Genomic DNA, 13,168 nt, shown 5'->3' on the forward strand with positions numbered 1-13,168 from the left:
TGACAAAAACAGGTACAGATATTAACAGAAAAGATGAGATAATGAACATTATAAAAATTTATTCTAAAATACATTTATTCCACTAAAACAATGCAGTAGAGGATGAGAGGGACACTCTGGTTTAATATTTTATCTAAAAGCATTAAGATTTTTAAAAAAGACATAAAATGGGAAAAAAGGAGAGGGGCAAGAATCAGGGGCTAGAAAGGCAGAAAAAAATTACCTTTCTTGTTTAAGCTTTTTAGAACTTTTTTCTTTATCTATTTTTAATTGTAACCAAAAGCATAGTAAACGATGTAAATATTAATTCATAGAGAAGTTGATAGGTTTTCCTACTTGAATGGGAATATGGGGAAAAAAAAAACCCTCTAAATTTTCTACTGAAAGAACTAAGTACAGAACAACTGGATTACATTGTGTATTCAGAGAGCACAATTTGGTAAAGACTTTCTCAGGCACGAAACAGTACTTGTGCCTTCTTAATAAAAAAAATTTCCAGTTAAGTTTTAATGAGGAGAACCTTTGGTTTCTGTCTCTCAGCCTCTTAGTTTGGACCATTTTGTGCCCTAAATCATGTCACTGAAATCTGGTTAGAATGAACTGCTTGGCAATGACTTCTTAGATGGGAACCCTCTGACTTGCATGAAATTTTCTACTCAGCCAGGAATGACTCACTTCTCAGCAAAGGACCCTGTAGAAGGTGGTGATAGTGGAGACAGATGTGATTTCTCTGGTGCCCTACTCAAAGATTCTCTCGCATGCTAGGAAGGGCCAGAGGAGAGATTAGCCATATAGTTTGTCTCCATATTAAGAGGGTAAACCATAGTAATTTAGTTTTCCTAATCAAACACTCTCTGCCAGTTCACCTTTTTGGGAGATTGGGAGAGGAATTAAAAACTCAGAAAAATTTGTTCTTTCCTTTTCTTGCTGGTCATTTATTTATTCCTTATATCTCTGGATATCCAATGTGGGCTGGCAATAGGAGATCTGTGCCCTGCCCAATCATTCAGGGACCCAGGTTCCTGCTACACCAGGGATCCCCAACCCCAGGCCATGGACCGCTACTGGTTCGTGGCCTGTTAGGAACCGGGCCACACAGCAGGAGGTGAGCAGTGAGTGAATGAGTGAAGCTTCATCAGTATTTACAGTTGCTTCCCACCACTTGCATTACCGCCTGAGTTCCGCCTCCTGTCAGATCAGTGATGGCTTTAGATTCTCCTAGGATCACAAACCCTATTGTGAACTGCGCATGTGAGGGTTCTAGGTTGCATGCTCCTTATGAAAATCTAATGTCTGATGGCCTGTCACTGTCTCTGTCTCCCATCACCCGTAGACAGGACTGTCTAGTTTCAGGAAAACAAGCTTACCTCTCCCACTGATTCCATATTATGGTGAGTTATATAATTATTTCATTATATATCACAATGTAATAATAGAAATTAAAGTGCACAATAAATGCAATGTGCTTGAATCATCCTGAAACCACACCGCCCCACCCTGCACCGCCTGGTGCCTTCCACAAAAGAGGTCCCTGGTGACAAAAAGGTGGGCACCACTGTGCTACACCATTCCCTAGAGCATTAGAATCCTACACTGAAGACTTTACCTCTCATCAGCAGATGATGAATGAGAGAGAGAGTATGAAGGATTTCCAGAGACTTTATGGGTCCAGCCCTAAAGTGATATGTATCACTTCCACCGCAGTTCATTGGCCATAACTAGTCACAATTCTACAAAGGAACCTGGAAAAAGGAGTCTAACTGTTTGCTACAGAAGAAAAGGCAATGGAGTTTTGGGAATACACAGGATGGTCTCTGCCATAGACACACTGTTAAGTTTTGATTGGAACATTAATGTAAATATTTCCTTAACAACTGGCAAGCTGCAGGTTGTAGGTAAAAGATTATTAAACCCTTTTCCCTTCTGCATAAGAATTTAACCTTTGGTTAACTTTTTATCTCTGTTTCCCTGGAAACCTGATAAAGGAAGAATGTCAAACTATGCAGCCAGGCAAGATTGCTTATGACAAAAATGACCGCTGGTTGGTAAACTGCATTAAACTGAAAGAACTATAAAAATTTGATAGAAAGCCAGAGCTTTGGGCTTCTCTGAGTATAATGATTCTTGAATAATAACTGGACTTGTCCCTTGGAGGAGTGCTGGAAGCTATGTCTGTGGAGTTCTTACAGAGGAATTAGCTCCTACAGGATATGAGGTTTTTAAGCCAGGGGACTGGTGTATTCATCCCATGTGAATCTAGCTCTCTCACTCCTGAGCTGTCACCTTGAAACCAGTCCAAGTAGCTCCTCAGTAGCTGCGTGGACTGCTTCAAGCTTCATGGATGGTCATAGGGACTACTCCAAGGAAGAAAAATGCCTTATGCTCCCCTGATGGGGAGCTACTTTCCTGTCTCGGGCACACTTGTGTCAAGTGGGAGCCATGACCACAGAGCTGACTTATTTGTTAGATACAAACATACAGTGCCTTGGGCCCACATTCCTTTTGAGGGCCCATGAAAATACATTTTTTTAAATCAGAAGAAAAAATACTTTAAGGTGAAAGTGATGTTTTCATATGTAATATTGATATATTTATTTTTACACCAGTGCAATTGTACCATATGCTTTTTACTATTTTTTATTTTTACAAAAAAAGGGGCCCATGAAGGTCATATCGTGGCCCTGTATGAGAGCCTCATGAGGCTGGCCTGATAGCTTGGTAGAGCTTAAAGAGACCCCTTGATGGCTGATACACATGGAATAGCTGAAGTTTCAAGAAATGAATCCTTAAAAAAATACCACATTTAAGTAAAATATGATAACTAAAATACTGTGTCAATGTCTCTGGTTATTCTTTTGGGGTGAACATACTGTGTGGTGGGTCTGGAAGATTCTTTTGTTGACTTGAATGTTAGCTCTTCAGGAAAAGCAGTGAGTATAGCAGCAGTTCCTGACATAATATATAGTAAGTCAGATACAATCTTGAGAAACCAGTGTAACTACAACATCTTGAATTTGGTGCACCTTAAAAATGACTTAGGATAGCAGTTTCCAAGAAAACCCAGTTGTGGCCACAGTCACATCTCCATCAGCTGGGGCTGCTGACCTTGTTTTTGCTGTTACTGTTGGCATAGCTGGGGGCTCAGTTCTGATAGTGAAGATGTCTGCTTCTCCCTTTTCTGCAAAATTGACTCTGAACAACCAGCCTCTCAGAAAAACCAGGCTTACTGGGAGGGTATTCATTTTGTTTCAACCCAAGACAGCACAGAAAAACATCTGTTCAAAATTGCTCATGGCTTTGACTAATCCATGGCTCATTTATTTTTATTTTTTGCTATAAGATGACTGTTTTTTCTCCTTTCATCTTCTTAAAGGAAACAATTTATTTGTAGATTTAAAAATGGTTCATTTGTCTGTCTGTTCATCCATCCATCCATCCATCCACCCACCCAGGCTTCAATCCAGAAGCAGATTAGTTTTTAAAAATTTGAGTATAGCCCCTTCAATTCAATATGAGGAAGGTGAAGCCCAAACACATTAACATGTTTGCTTGAGTTCACACAGCCAATTAGAAGTAGACTCAGGACAGAGCCAAGTTTCCTGGCCCTCAATTTAGTCCTACCCCATGCTGATTCCTTCAGAAAAGATGCTAGCAGTTCTGTTAGAAAGAATCAGGAGGAGCAATAGAACTTAGCACTTGGAAAAGAACAACTGGAGGCCAGGGCTGGGCACTGTTGACAAAAGAGGCCAGGCCTAAAGCCTGTTCAGAGAGCCACATTTCACTGGGCACAAGATGAATCAAGCCTCCTCAGGCACTGCTGGTTCAAAATGCTCTTGTTCAACATGCCAGAGGCACAAAGTACAGTATGTGTCTGTGGAAGGTTTTTTGCAGCTCAGCCCTGCTCTTCAAGATGCATGCCAAGGCAAGCCATGCGAGAGCCATACAGTATTTTGTCTGAAAGCCCCGTATAAGCTCCCTGCCCTGAGACATCTGCCTAATATCCTCCTGGTGTCACAGTTGAGGAATGGCATCACATCAGACACTGTGGCATTTAGTGGGGAGATTAAGCTTCTCACTAAACTGAGCATTTGCAGTAAGAAACGGAAGGGTAAGAAGACTTTCTGCGGCCGGGCGCAGTAGCTCATGCCTGTAATCCCAGCATTTTGGGAGGCCGAGGTGGGCAGATCACCTGAGGTCAGGAGTTCAAGACCAGCCTCGCCAACATGGCGAAACCCTGTCTCTACTAAAAATACAAAAACAATGTAGCTGGGCATGATGGCGCGCGCCTGTAGTCCCAGCTATTTGGGAGGCTGAGGCATGAGAATCGCTTGAACCTGGGAGGCAGAGGTTGCAGTGAGCCGAGATTGCGCCACTGCACTCCAGCTTCTGCGACAGAGTGAGACTCTGTCTCAAAAACAAAACAAAACAAAACAGAAAAAACACTTTCTGCACAGGCACAGTTGGGGGCTTAGGTTTCCAGTCAACAGAAGCGAGCAACAAACACAACCTTTTAAAACAAATGGGTGTCAGCAATCAACCTTCTGCCATACACAGCTAACAGGACACTCAGCTTTTGAAAGACACCCTTTCTGTGTAGCCCATGTCCTAACAAAGGAAAAGATAAAATGTTGCAAAAGAAGACAAAGGAAGGCCTCTTTTGTTCTTTACTGTTACAATGGCTGTGACAGCAAATGCTTACATAGTGCTGTCTAGGTGTCAGATACTATTCTAAGAAGTTTTTTGTTTTTTGTTTTTGAGAAGGGGTATCACTCTTGCCCAGGCTAGAGTACAGTAGCAAAATAATAGCTCACTGCAGCCTAGAACTCCTGGGTTTAAGTGACCCTGTTGTCTTAGCCTCCCTAGTAGCTGGGATTACAGGTGCCTGCCACCACACCCACCTAATTTTTTTAAATTTAAGAATTTTTTTAGAGATGGAGTCTTGCTGTGTTTCCCAGGCTGGTCTTGAACTCCTAGCCTTAAGTTATTCTTTCACCTCAGCCTCCCCAGTAGCTGGGATTACAGGTGTGAACCACTGCACTCAGCATGTTCTAAGAGTTTTATACGTATTAATTCACCAAATCATTAGAGCATTTTTATGAGAGAGCAACTATTATTAGCTCCTTCTTACAGAGTAGGAACCAGGCACAGAGACGTGAAGTTGCTTGCCCAAGGTCACACAGTTAGTAGAGGGGACAGTTGGGCTATGAACCCCGATGCTATGGCTTGAAAATCTGTTCTGTTATCCTCTGTGCTAAGTTCTCTCTCACTAAGAATTAAAAATGTAAGAAATGCCATTCTAGATAACATGCACAGTCTAGGATCCATCTAGCCATCCATCTACCCACCCACTAGGTGGCAAACACTGAGTTAGCCCATGCAGATACCATGGTGATCAAAGACAGGTGCTGTCTCCAGCCTTGGTGAGATGTTCTTTAAGTCAAGAGCTTCTGTGGTTGCCTCTTGATCCCCATTGCCCCCACTCTCCAGGCTGTGAAAAGGTCCTGGCTGCCCTGGAGGGCCAGGCCTGTGGTAATGTTCTGGGATTTATTTCTGGAGGTCTAGTCCAGATCCCACTCCTCTGACCCCTCTAGAGATTTTATATGCTCGATGTAACGCAGTTGGGACACCTTCTCCTTAAAGTGACTAGATGGTGTCTACTTTCTGCATCTGAATTGTGATTGACACCTTTTCCTAACGGGTTAATGGGTAAAGATTAAAATAAGAGGTGCCTCTAGTCCTAGCAAGGGAAGCAGGAGTGGCTCTGAGACTTAGTGCATGCGCATCACAGCAGGACGGAGGACCACTGGGAGGGAAGGTGGGGCCAGTGGGGGCCCAAGGCCTAGATCCTAATATGCAGCATAGGTCAGACCGGGAACAGGAACCCAGGGCCAGGCCAGCTAGCACTCTCCCACGTGACCAGGGAGCCCAGGACATCTCAATCAGATTCTGTCTGGAGACAGCATGGAGCTGGGTAGAAAGCATAGATTTCTTCTGGAGTCACAGGGCTGAGGACCAAATTGGTAGATGAGATGAACAGAATATTGTTTAGCCAAGGACTATTTTTCTAAACCAGACACGCAGCTGGACTCTGAGTCTAGTCTGGACACTTGTACTTTCCTATGCATGCATATTTTGTGTCCAAATAAATCTCCTGATCTGTAATAAATATATATGTATTGTACTTAAGATGTACCTAACAAATATTTACTAAGCATCCACTATGTGACAGATGCCACTCTAGGTACTGGGGATACGGCAGTGAACAAAACCCATAAAAATCCCTGTTGTCACAAGGCTTACATCTGTAATTTAAAAATATTTTAAATTTGAAAAACACTGAAAAACCCAGAGGTAAAAATTACCCATAATCCCATTAAAAAGTGTCACATGTATAGAATATGTAAAAATAAAGCAAGAAATCAGTGTTTCTCCTTATCCATCCAATCCTACCCATCCACCATAAGGTAACCATTATAAATTTTTCCTAAATTTTAAAGACATTAAGTATACATACCTATGAAATATTTATTTTATTCTATTTTTACAAAAATAGAATAATGCTTTACAGAATGACCTACATGTCCCCTCACTGCCACCCAATTGATCATGGACCTCTGTTTCAGTTGAGCTCCCCAAGAAGCGGACCTTGGGCCAAGGATTCAAACACACACCCTGCTCAGCATATCTAGGTCTATTCCATTCATTGTAATGGTTGCACAGCATTTCACCATGTGTCTGTATCATTATTTATTTAATCCCCCCAATGTACACACATTACCCTACCTCCACTCCACTTCCCACTCACTGACACTTAGGATTGTTGGGAGTGTGCTGATGTTATTGACTATTGTAAGGGGGGACATATGCGACAAAGGGAAACTCCATTTTCCAAAGGCCATGGCTGCAAGACAGGGTTCTGAGGGCTGGAGAAATGACAGTGTTGGCAGCAGGGAGATAAGGTCTAAGAAACTTATTGTCCTTATCACGTGCAAGATATATAGCTAATACATGTTTACGTGAAGTTGGCCAAATCAGTCACCCGGATGACATAAAATGGGAAAGACCTCATTCATTTAGTGGTTTATTTTCTCTTTGCCAACTACACCAGCCACTTGCTTCTTGACATTTTTGGTCTCAATGTCATCATATATCACTAGTTCTAGCATGTCTTTTGGAACTAGTCCACATTATAGTATTTAAGATTGCTGATTTTTTAAAATGACAAAACTACGTATGAATACCTGAGTGATTTTATCTGTATTTTGTCGCCGTGGCATTCTCAGATCTTTGAGTAAAGGATGAAAATCTTTATGTTTCTAAGAAGAGTGACAGTTTCTAAGGTCTTCAGTATCTTGGTAGGTGATTTCAGATGATCATCAGCACCACCAATCAACACTTCTAGAATCTCTATGAGAACCATATTATAGTCAGGGAGGAGGTTTTGGGCTGGCAGCAAAGATCTGGCATCTGCCCCTGGCCATCTGCATGCCTGTGGCACGTCACTTGGCCTTCCCGGATCTTGGAATAATAATGCCTCCCTGGCATAACTTGTGGCAATCAAAGGAAAAATCCAATGTAGAAGTGCTCTTCAGGTATCAGCTCCCAAACAAATACAGGATACTGGAGGAAGAATCTGGATTGTGCTAGCTGCAGTGGGTAACATTAGCTCAAGTCTCCCTTAAAGAGTCAGCACCCTGAAGCTGAACTCCTCCCCACTAACAGCACATTCAGCTCTCCAAAAAGCCTTAACAAATAGAGTTTATTTTACTAAAGGTTTTATGGAGAAATAAATAAGATTCCCCACAGTTAAACTTAGTCATCTTTTCCAACAGAAACATTTGTTCTTCCCTGAGAGCTCATCTTTGGCCACCAGGAACCTTAGTTCTGTCTCCTACCTTGTCCAACAAAGACTCCCCAGCCTCAGTGGCTCTAACCTTTCTTTATTCCTTAAGCTTCCCTTTGGGTCTTTCTATGTACTTTCCCCCTCTGAGTTTTTACACAGCAATTATACCTTAATCTTGATACCATCTCTTTACTCAATGGTCAAAAAACATTCTTCTTAGGTCCTCCTGCCCTCCTTTGAAAGCAGTGGAGGAATTTTAAATAACACATATTTTCATCACAAACTTTTTCCCTTGTCGTAACATTATCAGGTGTTTTCATTATTCTGCTCATTCAAAATGTTTACGGACTGGTTAGATCCAGAAACTTGGGAATCCTCTAAGGCCAGCCCCTCATTTGGTACCTGTAGTCATTGGCTCCCAGAGGAGAGAAGGGACTTGCAGAAGGCTATAGAATCAGTCTGCGACAAACCCACAGTTAGAAAGCCATGGCTGACTCCCAACTCAGTGCTCATCCCACCATATCAAGCCTGGGGCATAAATGAATTGAGAGGCTTTCAGATTCCGTGGGACCCAAAACTCTGAACTAAAAGAGAACTTGGAGATCATCTAGAACAAACCTTTGGTTTTAGGAAGGTTAAAAGGGAACCTTTTCTTCTATAGACTCTGAATCCTAGAAGTACAACAGATTAGAAGGTTACTTTAAAACGTATATACTTGCCTGGTGGGTATGATTTCCAGGAACATATACAGACTTAAACTGTTTCAGGAGACTCCGAGCTCCAGCAATATCCCGAAGTGAAGTAAAGAGTTCATCCACGGCAATTTTGGATTTGTGAAATGTCAGATTAATTGAAGAGTCCCAGTCTGAAAAAATCCAGAGATATTTTCTTGAGTGAGTAAATCTTTAAGTTTTCATCATGACAGCTTGAGCTCGATGTAATGTAGTTGGGAGGTTTTTTTTTTTCTTTATTATTATTATTATTATTGTTATTTTTTACCCTGTTTTCCTCTGGCTGTTTACCAACTGGGCTGTTTCAATCGTCCATGAGCAATGAAGCAAATTGAGTATAAATGCCTTTGACAGAAGTGGAACTCAAAATTGCCTGGGATTTCAGCCACTGGCTTCCATCCCTAGACTGCAGACATTTCACAGAAAGCAAGCTCCTAGGGCCCATAATCCTCGGAACACGACTTTGGGAAAATATGAGGAGACACAAAGGAAAATACGAGAGACTGTTATGATCAAACTCACTTGCTTGAATCCCACCAATAGTTTCCATAAAGCAGGACAGCAAGAATGAGAAAGATCCTGTCTAATGCACTAACAAAGCACGTGGCACATTTCAGAGGGCTGCCATTCAAAGCTGATCAAACACAGGGGGACTTAACAAGAAGACGGTTTTCTGCAACCTTCTGTTTCTTTTTCAAACTCAGAAGAACGTATTCTCTGTTTTGTTAGAAGCTCATTCAGAGGAGACATGATCATGGATAAGTTAAAAAAAAATAGGAAAAGATTAAAAATATGTCTTCTTACCTCTCCCAAATACATCAGCTACATTAACTCATTAATCGTCACATCATCCGTATGAGGCAGGAACTATTGTCTCCACCATTTTAAGTATAAGGGGACTGAGGTGCAGGTTAAGTAACACCCCTGTGTCAAGGATTGCCAAGGCCCTGCCCATACCCACTCGGTCACCCTGGGTGTCCCCTGCGAGAGTGGTAAAGTTTCTGTGTATTCCGACTGCTTCCTACCTCAGTACCTGCATGTCAGGCAGTTAGTCTGTCTGTCTGTCTCTCTCTGCCTCTGCCTCTTCTTGTCTAAGGGCTTTCTCTGATGTAGAAGCATGTTTGGCTTGTGTATGGGGCAGGCTGGGAGTGCTGGGGAGTCAACACTCATAGAAATAATCCCATTTTCTCTTCCCGTGGAGGAATAATTCTGAGTTGTGGTCTGCACAGCCTTTCTGAGGGGCCCCAGAAGGATGAAGCACCCACTGCCCACAACATCAACTCACCCATTAATACCCCCATTAGTGGCTTTCCTTCCTCCCCCGTCTCACCTCCCTACCTCCTGACTGTGCTTTGGGATATCTTTCCAAATTCAGTATTCGCACCCACATCCTTGTCTCAAGATAGTAGTGATTTGAAGACAGGTCTGGCTTTATGTTTTTAGTAACGGCTTTGTTGAGATATAATTCATATACTATATGGTTACCCATTTAAAGTATAAAATTCAAAGTTTTTAGCATATTCTGAGTTTAACAACCATCATCACCACCACAATTTTATAACACTGTGTCACCCCAACAAGAAATCCCATACCTGTTAGCAGTCACCCCCGATTTCTGCCCCCTCCAGCCCCTGGCAATCCCTAATGTGCTTTGTCTCTGTGGATTTACCTATTCTGGACATTTCATACAAACAGAATGACAGAATATGTAGTCTTTTGTGACTGGCTTCTTTCACTTATTGTAATGTTTTCAGGGTTCATCCAAGTTGTAGCATTAATACTTCATTTCTTATTGCTTACTAATATTTCATTGTATATAGAATATTCATGTATATGAAATGTGGAAATAGTATATTTTATATATCGACTTATCGGTTAATGGACATTTGGGTTGTTTTTGCCTTTTGGTTATCATGAGTAATGCTGCTAGTTTTACATGTACATGTTTTTGTGTGGACATACATTTTCATTTCTCTTAGGTATATACCTACGACTAGAACAGCTGGTCATATGGTAACTTTGTGTTTAACCTTTTGAGGAAGTGCTAAGCTGTTTTCCAAACTGATTGCACTATTTTACATTCCCACCAACAGTGTAAGAGGGTTTCAATTTCTCTACATCCTAACCAATGCTTATTATTAGCTATCTTCTTAATTATAGCTATCCTAGTAGATGTAAAGTGAGGATACACGTGTTGAAAAGAAATAGTTTTTAGGGAGTAGAGGTAGATTCAAACAAGCTTAAACTAAAATGGAATGAATCTAACATACCCAGAAGCATCCAAAAGAATCCAGCTGCATCAGACACAGCGAGGTGGCATGTGAGAAGCTCAGCTTGTATTCTCAGTCACTGTGTGACATTGTGTGTAATAACTCTTAAAGGATGGGCAAAAGCCTCTGATTAGTCTTCATCTCCTGGTTTCCAGAAATGTCCAACCCATTGCCATGAAAAAAAATCAGGCTGGACATGGTGGCTCACACCTGTAATCCCAGCACTTTGGAAGGCAGGGGCAGGTGGATCACTTGAGGTCAGGAGTTCGAGACCAGCCTGGCCAACATGGTGAAACCCTGTCTCTACAAAAAATGCTAAAATTAGCTGGGCATGGTGGCAGGCCGCGTATAATCCGAGCTACTTGGGAGGCTGAGGAATGAGAATTGCTTGAGCCCGGGAGTTGGAGGTTGCAGTGAGCTGAGATCGTGCCACAGCACTCCAGCATGGGTGACACAGTGAGACTGCATCTCAAATAAATAAATAAATAAATAAATAAATAAATAAATAAATGTGTGGTCAAGCTCAGTGAGAAAATGCCTCCTCACAACAGTGGACCCTACACACATGGGATTCATAGACTGCAGGGGATTGGGGGGTAGGGGAAGAATGAAGGGATTCAGGAAGTTCGTGGGAACTTCCTGGAATTCTATGCCAAGCTTTGAGGAAAGAAGAAAATGTGTAGTTTTATGGGGAGCATGTCTATAATTCCCTCTTGATTCTAAAAGAGTTCATAACCAAGGCAAGTTTAGAGCCACAGGTACAGAGCATGGATTGGTATCACAGCGTGTTTGCTGTTGGCATCACACTTCAGTTGAAATACACTGGCTTGTGCTTTAGACAATCACCAGCCAGAAGAAACCCTGGGAGGTTATGGCTTCTCACTCAACATGTGGCTTCTTTCCTTCAACCCCTAGGCTCAGCCATTTAAGATGTGAGAAACTGAATCAATTATATCTAGGAGTTGAGTACTATGTACTACTTTTTCAAATTTAAAAAGGCACAAAAACAAGGAGAAAAAAAGTTACTAGTTCTAATATCATGCAAAGTCTTTCAGTTCCTCTAAAAGTCAATCCAGCTAAATAGACTAATTTTTTTATTTAAAGTAATTCGTTTTCTATAGAACAGAAAGAGTCATCCATTTTCCATATGGTCTCTTGCAATTTTTTGGAATATGAGAAGTATGATATTCATTCATTAGGCTGGGTGGAATAGAATCATCTACTAGATTATACAGTATTTACTTAAAATCCTAGATTATACATGAAAGTTATGGATTATACATTGACATTAATTAATCATAGGCTGTGTAATTGCAGGGATTTAGTTCTACTGTGGAGCAGGTTGTCTGATATTAAGTGTTTACAGGTTACTACTGGTAAATTGAACTCAAATGAACCCAACAGAAAAATAAGACTGTTAAAGAAACTGCTGGACGGAAAATGCAAAGTCCTAAATTCACAAATATAGTCAATCTTGCTGAAAAATAGTCGATTATGTCTATTTTTCAAGCCAACTGTACATGGGCAATTTCTATCCAAACCATTAACCCTCTCCAATTTGTCTGTCATCCTCAAAGTTCTATGATATATACGTTTTAGGGATACTGGGCCAAAGGTGATTCATTTTTATCAGTCTTTAAGCATTTTTCATAATCACATCAATCCTCACCAAAAGAAGGATTTACATTTATTTTCCCAAACCCTATAATGAAAGTTACACACACACACACCCTTTAGAAATATGGATCAGTCAGGATAAATGACGTATGCAAGATCACATCACTATTCCCAGCAGAGCCAGGGTTCAAATATCCCCGATTGCAGACCTGAACTTCTCCATGTATGCTGCCTCCCACAATTCCACATCTCATCTGTGAATGCAGCTCATTCCAAATATATGCTGAATTGATAGATAAGATGGAATATGGATACAAAAGCTGTTAAATGGGGTGAATTATTTTCCGTGATAATAGTAGTATATAAGCGCCAGTTGCTCACACTATGCTAGAAACTATTCTAAGAAGTTTATACATAATAGCTCATTTAATCTCCACAGACACCTAATGTGCTAGGTACTATTATCATTCTCATTTTGCAGATGGAGAAACTGAGCCACAGAGAAGTTAAGTAACACAAACTCACTCAATCAGTACATGGTAAAGCTAAGATTCAAACCCTTACAGTCTAACTCCAAAGTTGGTCCTGTTAAACACTACATTCTGCTGTCTTTCATATCTGCTAAGGCCACATGTGTATATATATATATATGTATGCTATATGTGCTATTTTATATATATATGTACTATATGTGCTATTTCATATCT

The 13,168-nt window shown here is 41.1% G+C and overlaps 1 protein-coding gene across 1 annotated transcript in view; it reads right to left on the reverse strand.

Annotated features, from left to right (window-relative positions):
- The window catches only part of SCFD2 (sec1 family domain containing 2), a 493,080-nt gene that overhangs the window by 39,181 nt on the left and 440,731 nt on the right, over positions 1 to 13,168 (reverse strand). The window contains exon 6 of the mRNA NM_152540.4: positions 8,563 to 8,708. Coding sequence (NP_689753.2) covers positions 8,563 to 8,708 — 146 coding nt within the window. The remainder of the gene's footprint in view (positions 1 to 8,562; positions 8,709 to 13,168) is intronic.

This window comes from Homo sapiens, chromosome 4 (assembly GCF_000001405.40).
Source record: "Homo sapiens chromosome 4, GRCh38.p14 Primary Assembly".
Classification (NCBI taxonomy): Eukaryota; Metazoa; Chordata; class Mammalia; order Primates; family Hominidae; genus Homo; species Homo sapiens.